A 24180-nucleotide genomic window follows, 5' to 3' on the forward strand; every position below is an offset into this window, starting at 1 on the left:
TTCCCCATCTCAGTTGATGACAGCCTCATCCTACCAGTTGTTCATGTCAAAAACCTTGGAGTCATTCTTGATTTCTCCCTTTCTCTAAGAACTTATATCCAGTCTAGCAGCAGATCTAGTTGGTTATACCTTCAAAATGTATCTACAATCTGATCACGTCTCCCCACCTTCACTACTGAGCCACCACCCTGAACCAAGCTACCCTCAACTCCACACCAGTACTTCAATAGTTGTACAACTTCTATCTGTGTACCTCTACAGAATCTCCTCACTATAGCAACATGAGCGGTCCTTTTAAAACCTGAGTTAAATCGAGCCATTCCCATATCCAAGATGCTGTGATCATTCTCACCCCTCCTGTTTCACACAGAGTAAAATTCATACTTTTTGGACTAACCTTACATGATCTAGACTCTCTCTTAAGCTCTTGGCCTTTATCTTCTATCATCTTTCCTCACTATTGCTGCACTCTAGCCACTGGCCTCCTACTGACCCTTGGACACACCAGATATGCCCACCTTGAGGCCAGCATAGGGCCACTTTCTTCATCTGAAATGCTCTTCCTCTAGATATCACACAGCTATTCCCTTTATCAGCCTTAAGTCTTTGCTCAAATTTCAGTTTTTTACTGAAAACTAACCTGACTGGGCCACTGAATACCGCAAACACTGTTCCACTACCTTTTGCTCTACTTTTTCTTTGCTTTTTCTTTTTTTACAGCACTTATAATTAATATACTGATTTATTATGTTTACTCATTACTGTATCTCTCCATAGAATGCAAGCTCTATGACAGCAGTGGTCTTTTTTACGGGCATAAACCAAACCCTTGGAATGGTGCCAGCCACATAGTAGATGCTCGAAGAGTATGTGTCAAATAAGTGCATTGAATGATTGCATTTTCAAGACTCTTTCTAGAAGTGTTCTGACACCAAAAACATTAGATGGGTTTATTGGAGATTTGAGATTGGCCAGAGGGAAGCAATGAAAGGTCAAGGCAATAAGACTGTTAAGGTGATGCTGAAGTGGCTACACACGGGGTCATGGTTAAGCAGTAACAACATCCATATACACGATGCTTTGCAGTTTGCATAGGAACTTACTAGCCTGAGGGAGCAGGATTGAGGTGAGGAAACCAGATCATTACAATGGCAAAATCACACTTATAGGAGGGTGAAGGAACAGGATGGGATGGAGTTGAGGGTTATGGTCAGAAAGGACCATTTCAACCCAATTTTAAAACATTAACAGGCAGAGCTCAGTGGCTCATGCCTGTAATCCCAGCACTTTGGGAGGCCAAGGCAGGCAGATCGCCTGAGGTCAGGAGCTTCAAACCAGCCTGGCCAACATGGTGAAACCGTGCCTCTACAAAAAATACAAAAATTAACCAAGTGTGGTGGTGCACGCCTGTAATCCCAGCTACTTGGGAGGCTGAGGCAGGAGAATCGCCTGACCACAGGAGGCAGAGGTTGCAGTGAAGTGGGATCATGCAGTGGCACTCCAGCCTGGGCAACAAAGCAAGATGCCATCTCAAAAAAAATAAATAAATAACAAACGACAATAGTAGAACTGATCAACAAAACTACTTAATAAGTAGATCAAGGGAAGTTCTAACAGTATTTTGAATTCTCAACAAAAGGGCAAATAATGAGAATGGAGTCTTTTCAGAAAATAAAATACAAACCATCTCATGAAAAAAATTCATCTTGAATGGTGATAAATGCTGATTAAAACAAAAATAAAATATTTACATATTGTCATAGGAAAGACTTAAAATGTAACAATATACTTCAGAGAGTATAGTAAGACAAACATCTTCCTTCTCAAGGCAGAATATAAGTTAGACAATCCTTTTGAAAAGAAATTTATAAAATAAATCAAGACCGTTAAAACATTCTATGCTTTGGCCAGGAATTCTACTTCTAGGAATCTATGCCAAGAAAAAAATATAGAAACGTAGACAGATTTATATATAAAGATTCAGCATAATGTAAAACAAAAATCTAAAAATATTATAATGATTATATAAATCATGGCATTTTTATAGAGCAGAATGTTATGCAACCATCAGTAATTACATTTATGAAAAATGTTAATGACACGGGAAATGCTCATGATATAAGGACAAATGAACTGAAATAGGGACAATGCCATAAATGGCATATGGTCCCAACTAATATTAGTAGAATTCATTGCAAACGAATTCAGAAGTGGATTTTTAAAAAATTTTCATCTCTATTAGGGTTATTGAAAAATAAAATATTAACTTTGAGAAAAGCACAAACACTCTCTTCATGCAGAGAGAAGTTAAAATTATATAATTTTAGAGTGACTATTCATATAAACCCTGAATTTTTTTTATGCCTAATGGTTCATTATCCATAGATTTGCATTAAAGTAATTCTCTATTTTAATACATGTGCACTTCTCTGGGTCTCAGTTTCCTAATTTTTCAAACAAAGCATAGTCTAAATCAGGGGTCAGCAAACCTTTTCTGCCAAGGGTCAGATAGCAAATACCTTAGGTTTTGTGGGCCAGAGAGTCTCTGCTGCAACTGTTCAACTCCTCTGTTGGAGCGCAAAAGCAGCCATAGATAACAGGGAAATGAATGGCTGTGTGCCAATAAAACTTTATTTATAAATGCAGGCAGCAAACCAGATTTGGGCCACAGGTCATAGATTGCCAACCCTTGGACTAGATGATTTATAGTCTTTGATTAGCTGATAGTTCAAGCCCTGATGCAGAGGTCTAAGCACCAGCACACACCTGAGAAGAGGAAAAAAGCAGTGTACCATCATGAGAACCCTACGAGCTTTTGAGTTGGAAGAATCTGAGCTTGAGACCTAACTCACTTCCTAGTTGTGTCTGTTGTTGCAACATACTTTCAACACTAAGATTCTTAGTATCCTCTTATGCAAAGTGGAAGAGTAGCACCTACTTAACAAAGTTATCCTATGCCTTCAGTGAGATAATGGAAGTCAAAGCCCGAAGCCCACAACTTAAAAATGAGGAGTTCTCAACAACTGGTAGATAGCCTCATTAAGATAACTCTGATAAACCAGGCGGCACATAATCCTCGGGTGCTGAATGATTTCAGGCTCATAGTGTAGACAGGACGACATGTTGAGTCTGCGGCAGAGAACCGGCCAGGATAAACTAGGTTATGCTGCAGTAACAAACCAGCCCAGAGTCTCAGTGGACTGAAACAATAAGATTTATTTCCTGCTCATGCTACGTGTCTATGGCTGGGGACTCTGTTCTTCCCGTAGGACCGTCTGGAGCTTGCTGGTTGTAATGAGTGAGGGAAATGTTAGGTGGCTAGATCGCGTACTGGCTCTTAAAGCTTCTACCTGAAATGACGTGCATCAACTCCATTCCTATCTCATTGGCCAAAGCAAGTTACATAACGACACATTACTCATGGTGGGCTAGAAATGCTAGCTACCTTGCTCCGAGAATGGGGCTGGGGGAGATCTGGAAGTTTTTAGTTAACTGCACTAATAAGTGCATTATAACAAGATAGGAGAATAATAGGCAACATTCACATCATTTAGCATATTCCAAAGTAGTGCTAACTCCTTTACTTACAAATTGCAAAATCAAGTCAGGAGAATAAAAACAGAGCCAGAAGTGAATGGAGCAAGACAATGGGTCTGGGCTTCCCGATGGTAAAACAAAATCAGGGGAAAATGCCTCAGATAAGACTTGCTTTTCCTGAAAATGCTTTCACCAACTCTCTCTCCCTGCCATCCCCTTTTTGTAGCTGGGCTTCATAACCCTTAAGAAGGCTGTGATCAAAATCTATAATCTAACATCATGTCTAATTCTCTGAACTCCCAACATAAAGATTGTATAGACTAAATGTTTGTGTCCTTCTAAAATTCATATGTTGAAGTCCTGACCCCACATGTGTCTATACTGGAGACAGAGCCTTTAAATAAGTGATTAAAGTTAAGTGAGGTCAGCAGGACTTGGTGGCTCACACCTGTAATCCCAGCACTTTGGGAGGCTGATGCGGGCGGATCACCTGAGGTCAGGAGTTCAATACCAGCCTGGCCAACATGGTGAAACCACCTCTCTAGTAAAAATACAAAATTTAGCCAGGCGTGTTGGCTGCACCTGTAATCCCAGCTACTCCGGAAGCTGAGGCAGAATTGCTTAAACCTGGGAGACAGTGGTAGCAGTGATTGCAGTGAGCCTAGATCGTGCCACTGCACTCCAGCTTGGGTGACAAGAGTGAAGTTCTATCCCCCCAAAAAAAAAAAAAAGTTAAGTGAGGTCATAAGGGGGAACCGCTGCTCTGATAGAAGTGGTGCGCTATAAAAGGGAAAGAAACACTAGGGCTCTCTCTCTTCGCCATGTGAGGATGCAGCAAGAAGGGGGCTGTCTATCAGCCAGGAAGAAAGTCCTCACCAGAAACTGAACTCTGCCAAAACCTTCATCTTGGACTTTCCAGCCTTCAGGACTCCAAGAAAATATATTTCTGTTGTTTAAACCACCTACTCTGTGGTATTTTGTTAGAGCAGCCCAAGCCAACTAACACAAAGATGTAAAGCATACAGGCATTCTCACTGGATTTGATTTTCCAAATACAAACTCGGCTTGTTCAAAATGACATAACAGTCAAACACAGGTCTATGGAAATCCAAAGCTAAGGCTGGGTTGCTAAGACAAAGATGCAGCCTTTAAAATAAGAACTAAAAAAAAAAAAAGCACATTCAAAATTCAACTCTGAATTCAACTCTATCCATGTGGCCTTGGGCACGTTGTGTAAGCTCACTGAATCTCACTTTCCTCATCTATAAATCTCTCATGGGTTCTAAATGAGGTCACTTGTAGTGACATGGAGAACGGACCACAGGTTTTGTTTCCTCTCCCTTCCCTCCGCTGTCATAGTCTTTGGCATTGAAGCTTAAGGTTGAAAGAGAGAGAAAGGTTCTTTGGACACAAGCACTTATGCCAAGTGTGCTAAGAAGAGGTTAATTGTGACACACTCCTCCCACCTTGCCCACCCAACAGCCATCTAGTGCCTCACTAGCTACCCATGTCAAAGGCTGAGCTGAATTGGGAGCAGGTGGACACGAGCAAACAGGTTAAAGCACACAGGGAAACCTAAGTGTCTCCAAGCTCCTGTGGAGGGATGAGACAGCCAGTTGAGCAGCCACTCTTTCATCTTCACTGTCTTGGCCTTGGTTAGGGTTGGAATATATAATTTGGACCAACTTCAAGACTGTTTTAACATTCTCATGGAATCTATTTGTGTACATGATTAGCCAAACATAAAAGCTATTAGAGAAAGATTTTACCACTCCTTCCTTCTACTCTGAAGAACACGCCAGGGTTAATTACAAGATTATTCCAACAGCATACAACATAGCACACAGTAGATGCTCAACATATACCCCCTTTCCCCTTTTTCTCTGTCTTATTGTAACCACCCCATGGATTCTTGCCTGCCACATAGATAAAGCCAATTCACTGAGATAATACTGTTGCAGTCAAGAAAGAGTTTAATTGTTGCAAGGCAGCTGCGCAACAGGAGGAGAGATATTTCTCAGATCCATCTCCCCAAGAGCTCAGAGGCTAGGGTTTTTTAAGGATAATTTCGTGGGCAGGAAAGTAGGGCATGGGTGCTTCTGGTTGGTTGAGGATGGAATCATAGGAGTGTCAGAGCTGTCTTTGTGTGCTGACTCAGTTCCTGGGTAGGGGTCACTGGTCAGGGTGACATTGCTTTTTCTACCAGAAGGCAAGGTCTGAAAAATATCTCAAACACCAGTCTTTGGTTTTACAATAGCAATGTTATCTATAGGGGCAATTAGGGAACTTACAAATCTTGTGACCACCAGCCATGTGACACCTGAGCAGTCAACAAGTAGGAAGCAATGACTAGTTATCATTTAACTATGCAGATGTCTTAGCCAAATTCAGGCCCATCCCATAATTCTAATCTTGTGACCTTCCATTGGTTTTACAAAAGTGGGTCCACAAACAAGAAGTGGCTAGTTTTGGGAAGAGCTATTATCATCCTTAAGGTTAAACTATAAACTACATTTCTCCCATAGTTAAGTTAGCCCATGCCTAGGAGTGGGCAAAAGGAGTTAGCTTGTGAGGTTAGAAGCATAGAGTCTGCTATGTCAAATTTCTCTTACTGCCATAATTTTTGCAAAGGCAGTTTCATTATTACACTCCCAAGGTTTCAGAAATCTCGAAATTGGAAGAGAGGCAGCCAGCATGTATGGAGCAAGCACAATGGTGCCAAGCCTTTCCCAAATTCTCTCATTTATGCCTTACAACTCTCCCACCAGGAAGGTACTGATGAGAAAACCAAGGTACTGATGAGAAAACCAAGATGTCAGAAAAGGGAAGTGACCTGACCCTAGCTTCATAGTCCTCGTTTTTGCTCGTGCCCAAGTCTTCCCTGGTTCAAACTCCAGACTCTTTCGCGCACCCTCTTGTGATGTACCTGGAACTTGGAGTCTGGCTTGGGTTGTTTCATTCCATGCCCTGACACAAAAATTAGCCAGAAAAGGACAAAATCCCCCAGAATACTTGTATCCTGGAGTCCCAACTCACCAACTCAGACAGACCTAAAGGGAAAATGTTTGCAAGAGTGATACAAGGACCCAAGGAGAAAGGAAGGGGCCAGGAACAGACTTGGAAATAGAGGCCAAGCTTCTAATATAGAATAAACTAGCAATTTTCTGTGAGCTGCTGATTAAATACCTACCTCCCTCAGAGCCTCAGTATCCCCATCTGTAACATGACAAGGTGGTTGATTAAAGTGGTTGCAAGCCTCTAGCTCGAACACTTTATCATTGGCTCAGTTTTCTAGACACACAGAGCCGAAAGCTTTGGAGCCTACATTTTTCAGATAATCAGCTCAATTCACAATTCTACCCATACACACAGCCAAAACAACAGAAGCAATGGGCTTTCTTAAGGAAGTTGAATGGAGACCTGCAGAATACAGTCCCCAGTAAAGAGAAACACTCCAGCCAAATGCAGATCAGATTCTCAAATGGAAAATCACATTCCACAGGTTCCTGGAGGAGGAGGATAGGGGAGGAAGCTGCTGCTTCCAATAAGAGCTTCATTCCAGAAATCCCACATAATGGCCTCCCAAGCGCCCTGGTGTGATAAAGAGATGACTATTCCAGTTGAGAGAATCAAGTCCTCAGGGAAAGGTGGGTGGAGGACCAGGGAGGGCTCTTCCAAGAGAGGTTGAGCTCAACTCTTTAAACTGGAATATTGACTCTTCTGTTTCCAGTGTGATGATTTGAACCTGGTGAATACCTCATCCCTGCCAAAAGCCTGTCGCAATTAAGTATGTTTTCAATTGGGAAATGGAAGCGTATCAGACCTGGCAGGAAAACCAGAGAGCAAATCTTTATTAGGGCCTTGGGGCTCATACCAATATCTGGGACTGTCACCATCCCCACTGCCAACAGAAGGGAACATTCTCCCTGCCTCTGAAACTCAGAATTTGGAATCAGAAGACACCAAGACTATTTTTATTTCTCAGTAAACTTCCAGGTGAAAAAAAATAACAAAACATACTCTGCTTTTTCATTTTCAATTGGAAATTAAAAGTATAAGCAATTCCTCCATGTTTGTATTACTCCTTCTTTGAAGGTTTTCCTGCTGTTCCCCATCTCTGAGCACTATGACCCCCAACTCAGGGCCCTGCTGGGCAGAGCTGAACACTTCTCTATGTCACCAACACCGTCCCTATCACATCCTCCTAGCACGACACATGATCACATAAATTGGCATGTCTTCATGTGCCTGATTCCTCCTGAACTATTCTCCTTCCGCCCGCCTTATTCCTCCCTCCCTCTGTTAAGCACCAGAAACAAATGTGACCTAAAAGGAAGGCCATGAGCCTGGAAGTCGGGTAGAGATGGTTCTAACCTCAGCCATACTGTGACTCACTCTGGACTAAATGGTTTTACATCACTATGACTTTCTTCATCAGTAAGATAGAGGAATAAATACTTCATCACAGGCTTCTTTGGTTAGTTAAATGGAAAAAAAATGTATGACAAGAGTCTAATATATGGCAATCACAAGTTGTTCTGTCTCTTTCTTCTTTCTTGTTCTCCTACCTCTTCCAGGTACACCGTTTCTGTGGAAAGACTATCACTACAGCCCAGAACTCTGGTGGGGCATGGAGAGGAACCCGTGAGAGCATGTCATGGAGGGAAATAATGATTTTCATTTTCACCTGTGCCTGACTCAGTGTTCATGCAGCAAAGAACAGAGGATTTAAGTGTCCTTGTCTGGTCTCCAGGAAATTCCCAGGAGAAAGCAAACCTGGTCTGTACTTTCTGTAGCTGCTGACTTATGAATGAATGCATGCCCTTCAAAAAGTATTTTTTAAAGGTTTCATTTTTTTCCAAAGCTATTGACTTACAACTGGTATCTGGCTTTGACTCCAGAACAGGTGGCTTTAGGGAAGATTCCTGGAAGACAAAGACATGACACCCAAACCTAGAACTTGGTTTTGAATAATTAGAGATAAGGTCAGAGAAGGGATGGCATCCTCAGATAGAGGAAAGGGGATTATTTGACAAAAGTGTAGAGGAACAGAATAAACCTGGGGACCCGAATGTGGGGTTAGGAAGTGGTGAGGGATAAAAAGGTCCCATCTATCACCAAAGCTGGCATAGAAAGGGTGCTCAAACAAAAGGGAATCTATTAGAAAATGAACTAACCAATCTAAAAGGGCATAAGTAGGGTTGCTTAAAACCTTCTACATCCAGTACTCTGATCCTCTTCAACTCTTGCCAGAATCCAGAGAGAGAGAGAGGATACCCTAGCTCTGTTTCCTGCCAGTATGTCTGTTAAACCAGGGCCTCTGCCAGGTGAGTCTCGCTGCTGTGGAATGATATCCTGGGATGCAGAGTTGCCAATGTGTACCTATTCATTTGCACTGAGAGAGAGGCACACCTCATGTCAGGACCCTCACAGATCCAAATGGTTTAGGGAAGCAGATTCTGAATCAAACCAAGCTCCTCTGCACAACCAGCCACCACCACTTGGCCATACCTGTAGCTGTGGAGTCAGGACTCTCTTTGGAGTCTTACAAAGGGAGAACAAATTGAATAAAGATTAAGGAGTATGAGCAGTGATAGGGTTTGCCTCTGTGTCTCCGCCCAAATCTCACCTCAAATTGTAATCCCCACTTATCAAGGGAGGGACCTGGTGGGAAGTGATTGGCTCGTGGGGGGCAGTTTCCCCCATGCTGTTCTCATGACACAGAGTGAGTTCTCATGAGATCTGACGGTTTAAAAGTGAGACACTTCTTTATTCTCTCTCTCCTGCCGCCATGTGAATAAGGTGTTTGCTTCCCCTTCACCTTCCACCATGATTGTAAGTTTCCTGAGGCCTCCCCAGCCATGCAGAACTAAGTCAAACCTCTTTCCTTTATAAATTACCCCATCTCAAGTGGTTCTTTATAGCAGTTTGGAAACAGACTAATACAAGCAGTATTCTTGCCCACCCCTAAATGTACAAGTGTCCCAGGGCAGCACTCAGGCACCTGTTTTAAGAACCACCTGACCCATCTCTGCACCCAGCTATGCTGACTTGGGAGGCAGGAACAAGCCCAAATCCTGGCTGGTCCTCATGACTTTGATCCTTCAAAGCTTGCATTTAAGAAAAAAAGAAAGAAAACATGGAAAGGCAGTTAGGTTTCCATTTTCCGTTGTGCCTGATGTAGTGTTCATGCAGCAAGGAACAGACAGTTTAAGGGACCTTGTCCGGTTTCCAAAGAATTCCCAGATGCAAATTTCCCAGGAGCAAGCAAACGTGGTCTTTACTTTCTGTAGCTGCTAACTTATGAAGGAATGCATGCTCTTCAAAAAATATTTTGTAAAGATGTTCTTATTTTTTCCAAAGCCATTGACTTACAACTGGCATCTGTAGGCTACCAAAAGTAATTATAATAAATGAAGAGAAACTAGAGAAATGTTGCACAGGAAAGGGGAAATAAAAAGGAAATTTTATATACACGTACAAATGCATGTAGATGCGTGTATGTACATATGTAAATTCATTTTGTTTTCAAATTTAATGTCAAAACAGCTATAATTGCTCATTCTCCTTGTGTCAGGGGAGGAGGGATCATGTGCTCAGATGTCACCAAATGCTTCTTAAGTTCTCAACTACAAAGGACATTTTCCCTGCTCAATTTCATTATGGGAACATAACTTTACTGTCACCAACCATACAGGGAAAATCAGGTAACAAAAGAAGGAAGGATTGTGTCATTGTTGTTGCTGCTGCCGTATACAAAATATACAGTGATCGCAGAAAACCTCAAAAATATACACTCGTGAGAAAGACAACACAGAATCCTGCCACCCAGATGACTGCTGTTCACATGCTTGGTGTACACCCTTCAAGATTTCCCCCCTGCACCCAGGCACACACCTATACATTATAAACACATATACACATATGTGTGCATGTAGACATTCACATGGGCATAAGTACTATTGTCCCTGACACTTTTTTCTTCAGAATTGTGGCACAGATTGGAGGACCCCTAGGACACAGACAGGGCATCACCACCCACTGATGGTAACTGTGAAATATCTAGAACAGGGGCCCTCACAAGTTTTTCTGTAAAAGGGCAGATGATAATTATTTTACGCTTTGCAGGCCAGAGGGTCACAACTACTCAATGCTGCTATTATACCTGGAAAAGCAACCATCGATAATACGTGAGCAAATAGCTGTGGTTGTGTTCCGATAAAGCTTTATTTACAGAGCAGGAGGCGGGCTGGTGGCCCAAGAATAGTTTGCCACTCCCTGGTTTAGAACATACCATAAACCAAAAAGAGTCAAGAGAGCAGGAGACAGATTGAAGTGCATCCCTCACTGAAGAGCAAATTTCTTTTCCGTGGTCTGTGCTAGTCTCTTGCAGCAACCGTTTCTGCTTTAATGTGCATCCTCTGATACAATAATGACTATAGATAATTAGATTAAGTGAAGTTCACCCTTGTCCCAAAACAAGCTTTTTGAGACAGCAATTTCACTCCCTTTTTCTAGCTCCAGTTTCAGGGAGGGAGCCAGAACAGAAGTCACACTGACATGTCACAGGAATGCAGCAAGGTGAGGCCAGGGTGGCGTTCACTCATGTAAAACACCCTGGATCACACACCATCAGTAAATGATTTATTAAAAGCTACAAGATAAACACCGATAAAGTCTTCAGATACAGAGGCCCATGACATCTGCACAGGATGAGAGAATCAGAATGATTAATAGGGAAGGAGACAGGCTGGAAATACAGAAGACCTGCACCACCTGTGGGGAAGATCCTGGAGAACACATTTCCCACCTGCAAACAGCCTTCCAACCTCAGGCAATAAAATACACCTCTAATAACAAAAGCCATTTTGCACTATTTTCCCCCCTAGGTTTTGAGATGTAGCTCCTAAGTCCTTCATAGTGTTCAGATCCGTACCGACACAGCCTATTCTCAACAGTCACCTGACAGGCAGGGAGACCCTGCTTCTCCCGTTGAATCTTAATGACCAAGCAAATCTTAATGCGCAGCTCCAGCCGGGAGGTTTTGCAGATGCACATCCTGCACCCTCTGAGTCGCCCTCTCTCCCTGGATGAGCCAGGCCTTTCAAGGATCAGTGCCTGCACTTAACTCAATGTTCTGCTCAGCTGCTCACTCCAACCTTGCCCTTTCTTGCAGCTTCTGCAGAGATCCAAGATGTCTTCTGGGAATTTCAGCCAACAAGGGGAAATGACACTCCAATTAAACCTTCCTCTGTGATTTTCTGTTTCTTCCCACCTCACACCCATGTGCACACACTCAACCACACTTGTTTTCTACTCAGTTACCTATGGAAACACAGTCTTTTTGTGCCTGCCTCGGTGTTGGTTCCTGGAGATAAAAAGATTAATAAAATACAGTTGGTGACCTTTAATACCTTGTAGCCTATTGGGTAAGAATGATATGGACATAGAACACTCAACATCATGCAATCATGTTGTCGTCATGGTGTGTAAAAAGTACTACAGATCCAAGGATAAACAGACACAGGCACACACAAAAATGCAATAGCAAAAAGTCTGCAAGGAAGGATTGGAAATAGATAATGGTAAATGCCCCCTTCCCATTCCAAAAAAGGGTGTGGGAATGTGGATTAGATGAAGAAAGAGGTGGAATGTCTGTCATGTTTGGGTGTTTTGGTTTTGGTTTTGCATTAAAAATGTATTATACTTAGTGATATTATTTCTACTACCATGTAATTTAATTCTAAAATCCTCTAATTGCAGTTGAGCCAGGAGAAAGGTAACAGCACCTAGGGGACAAAATTCAAGGAGGCATTTGCTCCTGGAGGGATGGAGGTGTAGGGCTGGCTAAAGTAGCACAGAGAAGAGAGCAAGGAACGGTGGGAGCTTGGGAAAGACCTCAGAACAGGGCCATGTTGGAGCTGGGCCTTGCAAATTGGGAGAAAGAGAGAGATGATCCTGGGAGAGAAGAGAGATGATTTGGCAGAGAGAGCAGCATGGGGGAAAGGCAGGGAAGTACAATGGAGGATGATGAGTAATTATGAATGCCAAGGACAGAGAATGTGGGGTGAGAAGGAGAAAGAAAAACACACATATGAATACTTGCACACACACACTCATACATACACATGCCCAGATAGCATTTTCATTAAAGGGTCAACTTGTATGCTCACCAGCAGTATCTAAAATGAGATTGAGTGGCTGGCTGCCCCAGCCTCATGGTTCCAGTCCAGATGCCCTCAAGAAGCTCAGTATTATTGCTTTACTCTAAATCGTGTCTATATCTTGATGGATCTTGAGATCCATTCCAAGGGTGCCACTTAGACCTCTTGTCTCTCCTTCCTCCATCCCTTCCTTGAGTTGCCCTCTTCTAGGGACCATTTGACAAAGCTAAGTCACATAATAAAATTTTCTACTAAGTATGCCAGACATCGTTCCTAGTGCCTCACCTATATTATCTCATTTATGTATCACAAAAATCTAACATGTACATAGTTATTATTACCATTTTATAGACAGAGCAACTTGGGGTCAGAGTAATTAAGTCGCTTAACCAGAACACAGAGGAAAGAAATGAGAAGGCCAGGCCTCAAAGCCATACCAGCTGATGCCAAATGGGGGTATTTGGTTTTTTGTTTTTGTTTTGAGATGCAGTCTCTATCACACAGGCTGGAATGCAGTGGCACAATCACAGCTCAATGGAGCCTCGACTTCCTGGGCTGAAGCGATCCTCCTACCTCAGCCTCCCAAGTAACTGGGACTACAGCCACAGACCACAACACCTGGCTAATTTTCCTATTTTTTCTAGAGATGGGGTTTCACCATGTTGCCCAGGCTGATCTTGAACTCCTGGGCTCAAATGATCCTCCTACCTCAACCTCCCAAAGCGCTGGCATTACTGGCGTGAGCCACCATCCCCGGCCTCATGCCTAACGTTATGCTAACTATTGTGCTATCCTCTGCAGTTAATTACAGAAAACACCTGCACAAAAATGCGTGGCAGTCAATGCAGTAGAGAAGAGATAAAGACCTAACTTGGGGTTTCTGAACAAATAGTCCCTGTCCATAGACCATGAGCAAAGGTGGACGCAAACAGCCCTGACAAGTGAGCGGTTCTAAAGGCGTGCAACCTGCAGCTGTCAGTATCAGGTAAGTTGTGGAGAATTACCTCGAAGGTGGCTAGGGTTGAATCCTGGTATCCTGTCTCTGTAAGGAACCAGAGGATGTTGCCTACAGCCTGTTTCTGCTCTCAGGCCATTCTCTTTGCACTTCAAATATCGTGGGGAAGGTGTTTTGCATTCATGTTACGGAGGGTAATTGTTGTGAGTTCATCTATCAAAAAGCCACTGATGGGTACATTTACATAAGAAAGAGAGAAATGAAAGTCAACGAAAGCCCAAGTCTCAGTTGTTTGACTTCTGTGCGCCACAGGGCACAGTTCTCCAAAAACAGACCGAACTGTGGGCAAAGGACAGCTTAGCTGTTTAGAAGTAAGGAAAGCCTTTCCTTTGGTCAACCCTGATTATGCTCTATAGGGGCATTAGGTTACCACTGAGAAACTGTACTGTCCTACCCTCATCCCAAAGATGGGGACTCCGTGATCTGACAGAGCCCTCTGCCTGTCGGGGAGACCTGGCCGTGAGAGCAGGGCACCCGGGCCCTGAAACCGCAGGGATGGGGGTGCACGCCGGGCCATGACAAAGGAAACAGCGCCATCTTGTGGCTCCAGGAGAGATGAGCTACACTTCCCGCCCATTGTCTCACGAGGGCACGTAGTTAACTTACCAAGAAGAAATTTGAAATTTGGAAAACAGAAGTCAACCGTGCCTTTATGGACAGCATGGTAGGCAAAACCTGGCCCAGTCCCATTTTGTCTGATCTGTGGCTAAGGGAGAGAAATGGCAGTGTGTTAAGGGTCGTCACCACCAAATGTAGGCGCTCCTGGGGACAGCAAAGCATTCCCTCACTTGGCATCAGGAGGGACCGGTCCTTGACCCAAGCACAGATCCTTTCGGGTGCAAAAAGAGGACCAAGATAGAGGTCATGGATTACGTTCTGGATGTTGGTGACAATGGCTGCAAATAAAAAGCACTTAAGATTTGCGAGGCACTCTGCATGCATTAATGAATAATTAATAATTAATGAACTAATACTTAAGGAATAATTAAACAGTTGCTTAAAATTAACCCTCATAGCAACCCCAGAGGAGGTAAGGTGCTAGTACTATCTCCATTTTTCAGATGAACAAACTAAGTCCCTCGGAAACAATGCAGAGTACCCTGGGCTAGGTCACCCAGGTAGCTAGGATGACAGCCAAAATTAAAACACAAGCCTGTCTAACTCGAGTCTCATGCCCTGAAGTTACTTCTACAGTTTCTTACATGATGCTCCAGAAACCAGCTACACTGGATACACACAGCATGTATACTGAAATACAAAAATATCTCACCCTACCCTAAACATACCGAGTCAGAATCCCTGGGTGGGTGTGAGAATTGGCACTTTAGCAAGTTCCGCAGGTGATGAGATACCCAGCCCACAGGTGCCCTGGCTAAACTGTGTCTCCCAAAGTTTGTGTGTTGAAGCCCTAATCCCCAGTATGATGGTATTTGGAGATGGGGCCTTTGGAACTGCTTCTTTTGGATGAGGTTATGGTGGTGGTGCCCACATGATGGGATTAGCACCCTTATAAGAAGAAATGACCTACTGGGTGAGGTGGCTCACTCCTGTAACCCCAGCACTTTGGGAGGCCAAGGCGGGCGGATCATGAGGTCAGGAGATTGAGACCATCCTGCCTAACACAGTGAAATCCTGTCTCTACTGAAAATACAAAAAAAAAATAAATAAATAGGCGTGGTGGCGGGCATCTGTAGTCCCAGCTACTCGGGAGGCTGAGGCAGGAGAATGGCGTGAACCCGGGAGGCGGAGCTTGCAGTGAGCCAAGATCGCGCCACTGCACTCCAGCCTAGGCGACAGAGCGAGACTCCATCAAAAAAAAAAAAAAAAAAAAAAGAAAGAAGAAATGACCAGAACTCTTTCTCTTTCTACCGTGCAAAGACATATCAAGAAAGCAACTGTCTGCCAGCCAAGAAGAGGGACTTCTCTGAAAACCAGCCATGCTGGACCTTGATCTTGGACTTCCAGAACTGTGAGAAATAAATTTTTGTTGTTTAAGCCACCCAGTCTATGGTATTTTGTCATGGCAGCCCGAGCGGATTAACGCACCAGGATACATATCCGTGGGCCAGGTCATGCGAGCTCATCAGTAAATATGCCTGTTATATTAATGAACAACCAAGAGATTTCAACACTCTGGCCCTTGGAAGAACTGTGCCAAGGACACATGTGTACTATTTCCAGGATTTAGCCTCTTTTCCAACCTACCTCAAGGTGACATTGCCTTGGAATCTGTCTTCCAAATGTAAGAAGAACGGCCTCCTTCCTACATCACTAAAGATTCACGGGGGAGGGATTCCAAAAGCAGACGTGATAACCTGGTGTAAATGTGCAGAAATGGGAAGAGTAATAGGAGCTTTGCTTTGTGTAGTGCCTTACAGTTTTCTGGCACATGTGATTTCTTTAGATAGCTGGACTTTTCCCTGTGAGGTAGAGAGGCCATATAATTATGACCTTGGTTTACCAGATTATAAAGCAAAGACAAATGGAATCGCAGAGCCCTGCCCGTGGTCACCCACTAACGACATGGAGAACTCAGCCTAGTTGGAAGTGCAAGTAAGATAACAGAAAAACATGGGCTGATCAGGAAATAAAATTAGAGGAGTCGCCATAGCTTGGAAGAGGGGTTTGTCTATCAGGATGCTTGCAGCAAGAAAATTCAACCCAGATGCTCAAATGACAAACAAGAGGCCTTAATAACAAGATGACATACAAGGCATGGGCAGGGATCCGGGAACAAACACAGAATGGGGTGCCCCTTGGGATCAGCAACAGGGGAAAACTGTTCCCTCTCCCAAGACTAAAATAGCAAGAAGAGGAAGAGATGGTGTTATGAACCAAGAAGATGGGCAGGAAGTAAAATAAATAAGCCAAAACAAGGACACCAAAAGACAGGCTCTGTTTTTAGACAACCATTTCTCCAAAAACCAGTCACTCCATATTCACTTGAGCGGGAGGCCTGTTTTCTAAGAAACAAGTCAATCAATGGCCTTTGAATGGGTCTTCCCGAGGAAGCCTGTTTCTCAACCTCAGTCATGCTGGGAGTGGGTAGGGGGTGGTCACTCTCCAGTAAGATGCAGGGACAGATCTCCTGGACCACTGAGTCCCTGGTCTTCCTTCAGCCCAGCACACTTGTGTGAAGTGGGAAATTCAACACCTGAGAAGTAGAAATAACACGATAGTTCTTTATAGACTCCCCAGACTCTATTTCAACAGAAAAAAAATTAAAAAGAATATCCCTACTGCTCATAGATTGTTTACTACTCTGTCAAACATTTCTTGATATATTCTTTCCAGTTATGCAAAGCTTTTAAACACAAGGATGCAATATTTTATAAGTATGTGTAAGGCAGGGCTTCTCAACCTTGGCCAGATCATTCTTTGCCATGGGAGGCTGTGTGGTGTACTGTGGGGTGTTAGTAGCATCCTTGGCCTCGACCCAGTAAATGTCAGTAGCATATCTCTCCCCCTCAGTTATGACACCCCAAAATATCTCCAGACATTGCCAACCATCCCCTTAAGGGCAAAGTCACTCCCTCTCTCCTAGTGAAGTCCTGTTCTAAGTGACCCCAATTTGATGAGCTGAATTCTTCCATTAACAATGAGAGGGCCAGGGTTAGGGTGAGGTGAGTGATGATCTTAAGACCCTGTCTTTATTTAAATGTTGATGTTTTGTTGAACATGGATTTTTTTGGCATTAAATTTTTTAAAGATTGCATTAAAATATTATCTTCACTATTGAGTGTTTTTCATGACCCCTTAAATTTTGCATTTGGAACAAGTGCTTCACTTGCCTCCCTTAGTCCCAGTCCTGGGCAAGGTACCCCTGGAGCCGTGAATACCAGGAAACAAAGTTCTTCTGCTTCCCTCTCATTCATTCATTCAGTCAGTCATTCAATTTTCCCAAGTCCCCCTAGTATATAACTAGCTCATTATTTGCAATAGCTGTATAACAACTCAAAGTATGGGTCACCATAATTTCCATGACAATTCCTACATAATAAAAATGAGGAATAGGCCCGGTGTAGTGGCTCACACCTGTATTTCCAGCGCTTTGGGAGGCCAAGGTGGGTGGATCACCTGAGGTCAGGAGTTCCAGACTAGACTGGCCAACATGGTGAAACCGCATCTTTACTAAAAATACAAAAATTAGCCAGGCATTGTGGTGGGTGCCTGTAATCCCAGCTACTTGGGAGGCTGAGGCAGGAGAATCACTCGAACCCAGGAGGCGAAGGTTGCAGTGAACTGAGATCGCGCCACTGCACTCCAGCCTGCGCAACAAGAGCGAAACACCATCTCAAGAAAAAAAAAAAAAAAAAAAAGGTATAAATAGAACTGCATTAGATGCCTCATAAAAAGCATCTTAGAAGGAAAATACTAAGAACCAAGGGATCAGTTACCAGGTAAAGCAACAGTCCAGGGCGGACACGACTGTGACTCAGACTAGGTATGGGCTGTGGACATGGAAAGAAATGTGAAGATTAAAAAGATAGAGTCAACAGATATTGGTGGTGAACTGAATGTAGGGAATGAAGATGAGAAGTTTGTCAAAGGTAAGTCCCAGCTTTCTAACACGAGTAACTAGGTGCAGGTCATTACAGGTGATGAAATGGAGAAGCCTCAAGAAGGAGCAGGGTGGGAGTAACCATGCAGAGGAGTAGGGTGGGAGGAACCATGTGTCAGGGATCACAAGATGAGCTTGGCAGTGAGGGGGAAAAGGGGTGGCTGGGGTGCATCCACGTGGAGTTCTCAAACATGGAGACTGGCCTGGAGATGCAGCTGCAGGTGTTAGCAGCATTTAGATCATACCTGAAGCTGTGGAGTGCATGAGCTTTCCTATGGAGGAAGGAGAACCACAAGACGGTCTGGGACCAAGCCCTAAGGGACTCTCCTACTTAAAAGGCAGGTAGAATCAACAGCAGATGCTGAAATTAGGGGGCAAAAGTATGATTCAAAACAGGATATTTGCATAATCTCAAAGAATCTTCCCCCGAGGTAATTATTAATTACAAAGGGGAAATAGTCATTTTAAAGTCGATGCTACCTTAACCAAATAATCAAAATTAATCTCACAACAATGAGACATAGTAACATCATGTGCCTCCTGATTTGATGCACTGAGAAGGACACAGCATCACTTCTGTGATTTCCTTGCCAAAAGTGCATAACCTCAGTCTAAACTAAAGCAAACATCAGCAAAACCCAAAATAAAGGTCACACTACAAAATAACAAGAGGGTACTCTTCAAGTCTGTCAAAGTCATGAAATACAAAGAAAGACGGAAGAATTGTCCCAGATTGGAGAATATTAAGATGACATGATGACTAAATGCAATGTGTAATCCCGGAATGAAGTCTGAACCAGGCAAAAGACAAGAGTGAACCAACTGAAGAAATTTGAATAAGATCTGCCGATCAGTTATGAGTGTCAATACCAATTTCCTGGTTTTAAAAATTATACTATGGCTATGTAGAATGCTAACATTCCAGGAAGATAGACGAAGGGCAGATAGGAATTCCCTTGTAAAACTTTTGCAACTTTCTTGTAAGTCAAAATAAAGAGTTTTTAAAATATAGGTAGAGGAGGAGGACCCAGCAAGAGACAAAAATAGTGATCAGAGAGGAAGATGGGGATGGCATTGGGGAAGCCAAGCAAAGAGCCACATTAAGAAAAAAAAAATGGGTATTCAATAAAGTTAAATGTTGCTGAAAGTCAAATAAAATTCAAATGAGTCTCTTGGATTTTATCTCCTTTCTATATACTTTTTATTGAGGTTTAATATAAAAAAAGAAAAGTTCAGAAATCACAAGTGAATACCTACGTATAAAAACACCCAATTCAAGATACAGAACATTAACACCACCAAAAAGCCATTTCTGTACTATCTGTTATTGTCCTTCCTTTCTACAAAAGTAATGGCTGTTGTGACTTCTACCACCATGGGTTAGTTTTGCCTCTTTTTAAAAAATGGATATAGGGCCGGGTGGGATGGCTTGTACCTATAATCCCAGCACTTTGGGAGGCTGAGGCGGGAGGATCCCCTGAAGTCAGGAGTTCAAGACCAGCCTGGCCAACATGGTGAAACCCCATCTCTACTAAAAAATACAAAAACTAGCTGCGCGTGGTGGTATGCACCTGTAATCCCAGCTACTCTGGGGGGCTGAGGCAAGAGAATCGCTTGAACCCGGGAGGCGGAGGTTGCAGTGCGTAGAGTTCGCGCCACTGCCCTACAGCCTGGGTGATAGAGCAAGACTGCATCAAAAAAAAGAAAAATTGATATAAATAGGCCAGGTGCAGTAACTCACACCTGTAATCCCAGCACTTTGGGAGGCTGAGACGGACGGATCACCTGAGGTCAGGAGTTCAAGACTAGCCTGGCCAATATGGTGAAACCCCATCTCTACTAAAAAAAATAAAATAAAATTAGCTGGGCATGGTGGTGCATGCGTGTAATCCTAGCTACTTGGGAGGCTGAGGCAGGAGAATCACTTGAACCCAGGAGGCAGAGGTTGCGGTGAGCAAAGATAGCACCATTGCACACCAGCCTGGGCAACAAGAGTGAAACTCTGTCTAAAAAAATAAATAAGTAAATAAATAATTGATATGAATGGAATCTTACTGGTCTGGTTTTATCACTCAATACTATGTGAGATTTTTCCATGTTGTTTCATACCGTGGTAGTTCATTTTCATTCCCGCATTGTATTCCATTATGTGAATATAGCATGATCTGTTTATCCATCCTATTGCTGATGGCATTTGTGCTGTTTCCACTTCAGGGTTATTACCATTAGTGCTGCTGTGAATATTTCGTATATACCTTTTGACACATATATGAATGTTTATCTGCTAGATATCTATCTATAAGTAGAATTTCAATTAAATTTTACACTACAGATATGACAGGGGATAGCTGTTCAAAATATTGATTGATGAGTTAATGAGAGGTGTCAGCAATTATGAATAATGCTCATGTTCCCCCAAAGCAGCTGCAAATGCCATTTTGTACTTCATTCTCAATATTCATGTTTATTCATGAAGGTGAGAAAAGGCCAAAGGCTTCATTCCATGAAAAAAAAAGATTACATTGTGGGGCAAAGAAAAGATCTAGAAGTCAAAAATACTTGGTTTCAAACCCCAGCTGAGCCATGTTATTTGTTGTGCGAGCCTAGGCAACTTGTTTTATTTCTCTGAATTTTGGGTTCTTCAGTTTTAAACTTGAAATAGTATCTCCAGTTCCAAATGTATTGCATTTCGAATAATGCCTGATTCAGGTAACAAACATGGTAAACGTTCCTAAGAATATCCTCCTGGGAAATCTTGATCCAGCTTCTCCCAACTTCGCAAAATATTTATAGAGAAAACATGAAAATTTTAAATCCTGCAAAATGAAGTTAGCCAAGTGACAATAACTCTGATAAATTTCACCTATCTACAAGGCTAAAGGAATAGAAAAGGAAAAGCACATTTGATAGGTATCAAATGTAGGAAACAGTGCAAAGCTTCTCTTCTGAGTGTGGATAGAAACTTCTCTCACTATGGGCCCCCGTCGTTCAGAAAAGCAAAGTCTATACCAAAAAGCAAACAAAAATAACGTCTTTCTCTTGTGTCCATACTGCTGTTTAAGACACCCAGTGAGGCTCTCCCGGACCAGACTCACCTCCCGCTATTGACTGGATGTTTGGAGACCCAGAAAACGACATCACAGGACGTAAGTACCAGGAGGTCTAGAGGTGACTCATGGTTTCCTACAGGTGTAGTCTCCACAAACTAGAAATGATGACTGTGTCCCTGAAAGCAGGGACTGTTCATGTCAATTTTTTAATTTCCGTCTAAAATGTCAGAACTGGAACTAGATGACAATTTCAAGACAACAACCAGGAATCCAACCCAGGAATTAGGGTTTCCTGAAAAAGCAACAAGAACAACTGGAGTAAAAAACATTATCTAAGTCATAGTTAGAGTTTACTTGGCTGGTGGGGATGGGGAGATAGATATTGATGATGCCGATAAGATTAGTATGAACTCCGAGTAATATCCATGAAAAGTTCTTCAATCAGATTGATCTTAGCAAATGTTTCAACAACAAAAATTATAAAATGAGTTCGATAAGAATGCAAGCAAAGGGAAAAAAGCGATATGATGAAACCAAAATTAAGGCAAGTATCAGACTTTTCCTCTGCTGTGTATGAAATACCAAAAAACAATGAAGAAATATCTATAGCTTTGACAGGGGAATGGTTAGAACTCAATTATTTTATTGGGTAAACCACAAGAAGAAATTCTCAGAAGCCATATCATCTCAGAAACAATATCATCCATGCATTCTCCTTCAAAACTGCTTCAAAACAACCAATTGAAAATACATCTGGCCAACAGAAATGTAATTTAAAACTCGATGAGACTATTAGTATAAAAATCACTTTTAGTTATAAAAGGAACGGCATTGGTCGCTGCAGTAATGACGGACACTCCCTGAGGGCTGACAAGGCATATTAGTTTTCTAATTATGGTAGCTAAAAACAACACACACTTATTATCTTACAGTTCTACAGGTCAGAAATCGAAAATGAATCTTACCAGGATAAAATCAAGGTATGGGCAGGACTGCATTCACTCTGGAGACTCTAAGGGAGAATCAATGCCTTTCCTTTTCAATTCTAGAAGTTACCTGCATTCCTTCTCTTGACCCTCCATCCATCTTTAAAGCCAGCAACACTGAGCCAAGACCTCACACAGTACGATCTCGCAGGCTCTCTCTTTCCCTTCCTTCTTCCACTTATAAAGACCCTTATTACACTGGGCCCACCTGGATGGTCCAGGATAATCTCCTATCTCTCACACTGGGCTCACTCGGATACTCCAGAATAATCTCCCATCTCTTACATTGAGCCCACCTGGATGGCCCAGGATAATCTTCTATATCAAGGTCAGCTGATTAGCAACCTTAATTCCACCTGAAATCTTTATTCCCCTTTGTTATGTAAGCTAACATTTTCATAGGTTCTGGAGATTAAGATGGGAACATCTTTGGGGGACCATTATTCTGTTTGTCCTAATAGTGCAATAATCCTCACTTAATTAAGTAGCTCATTTCATCTCCATTTAATTTTCATGAGTTAGAAATAAAATGAATCCACTTTATCGAAGAGGAAGCTCAGGTTTAAAGCAGCAGCCTCAGAGTCATTCCAGTCAACTCAAACATTTTCTTGGTGGGCTACGCTGGCTCGCACCCATGATCCCAGCATTTTGGGAGGCCAAGGCGTGAGGCTGGCTTGAGACCAGGAACTCAAGACCAGCCTGGGCAACATGGCAAGACCTCGACTCTACAAACAAATTTTTTTTTAAGTTAGCTGGATGTGGTGATGCATGCCTGTAGTCCCAGCTACTGGGGAGGCTGAGGCAGGAGGATCACCTGAGTCCAGGAGTTTGAGGCTGATGAGAGCTGTGACTGCACCACCACACACTCCAGCTGGGTGATGGAGCAAGACCCTGTCAAAAAAAAGCAAACAAACAAACAAACAAAAAACAAAAACAAAAAATTCTCAGTGTTGTACAGTGGCTCAAGCCTGTAATCCTAGCACTTTGAGAGGCCGAGAAAGATGGATCACTTGAAGTCAGGAGTTCGAGACCAGCCTGACCAACATGGTGAAACGTCATCTTTACTAAAAATACAAAAATTAGCCAGGCGTGGTGGCGCATGCCTGTAATCCCAGCTGTTCAAAAGGCTGAGGCATGACAATCACTTGAACCCAGGCAAAAGAGGTTGCAGTGAGCCAAGATCGCACCACTGCACTCCAGCCTGGGTGACAGAGTGAGACTCTGTCTCAAAAAAAAAAAAAAAAAAATAGAGAGCTTTCCATACACATAGTTCAGACTTGGAGTCCAGTCTTGCTGAGGGAGAGATCATTGTTCTCATTATGCAGAGGAGGAAATTGAATCCTCTAGGAGATGAGTGACTTGGCCAAGGTTATTCAGGAAGCTAGTGGCAGAGTAAAGACCTGGACTCTGAAGCCAGTGGTGTTCTGGTTCATTTTGGAGTCTTTCAGGAATTCTGTTGGCACTTGAAATCCAAGTTTCTTGTTTCCAGAAGGGAAAAAAAAAAATTGATGCTCATTTTCTGTGTTTTGTCATAGCACCAATCCTGGAGCTTAGTTCTGCCTACAATTCCCAGGATCCCCTTACAGCCACCATAAAATGTGCTTTTATCACTCACAATGCAGAGAATCAATAAAACAACTAGCGAGAAAGAAACCACATCCTTTAATTTCATCATCTCCAGAACCAAAAGGTTTTCATGTCATAGGAAAAGGAGGGCTTGAGCTATGGTCCTCAGAGGAACAAATTGCATTTTCATTCTGATAAAGAGAAGAGCCTATCTTTTCAGAAGTTGACCCGGTGATTCCAGAAAAAGCATAGGACCCTACACAGCCAATGAGAGCAGTTAGTGGAGCCATGTGTCACGTTC

General features: G+C 42.8%; 1 long non-coding RNA gene across 1 annotated transcript in view, besides 2 other annotated features; it reads right to left on the reverse strand.

Moving 5' to 3' along the window:
- DYNLRB2-AS1 (DYNLRB2 antisense RNA 1) overlaps nucleotides 1-24180 on the reverse strand; it is a 407178-nt gene that overhangs the window by 296381 nt on the left and 86617 nt on the right. The gene's annotated exons all lie outside the window — the stretch shown is intronic.
- Nucleotides 13527-14109: an enhancer, noted in NCBI's record as "OCT4-NANOG-H3K4me1 hESC enhancer chr16:80499762-80500344 (GRCh37/hg19 assembly coordinates)". NCBI's record gives its function as "activates a minimal SCP1, AML or CMV promoter by ChIP-STARR-seq in naive and primed H9 embryonic stem cells {active_cell/tissue: H9 hESC(naive and primed)}" and the evidence as "EXISTENCE:reporter gene assay evidence [ECO:0000049][PMID:30033119]".
- Nucleotides 14110-14691: an enhancer, noted in NCBI's record as "OCT4-NANOG-H3K4me1 hESC enhancer chr16:80500345-80500926 (GRCh37/hg19 assembly coordinates)". NCBI's record gives its function as "activates a minimal SCP1, AML or CMV promoter by ChIP-STARR-seq in naive H9 embryonic stem cells {active_cell/tissue: H9 hESC(naive)}" and the evidence as "EXISTENCE:reporter gene assay evidence [ECO:0000049][PMID:30033119]".

The sequence above is a fragment of the Homo sapiens genome, chromosome 16 (assembly GCF_000001405.40).
Source record: "Homo sapiens chromosome 16, GRCh38.p14 Primary Assembly".
NCBI classification, from domain to species: Eukaryota; Metazoa; Chordata; class Mammalia; order Primates; family Hominidae; genus Homo; species Homo sapiens.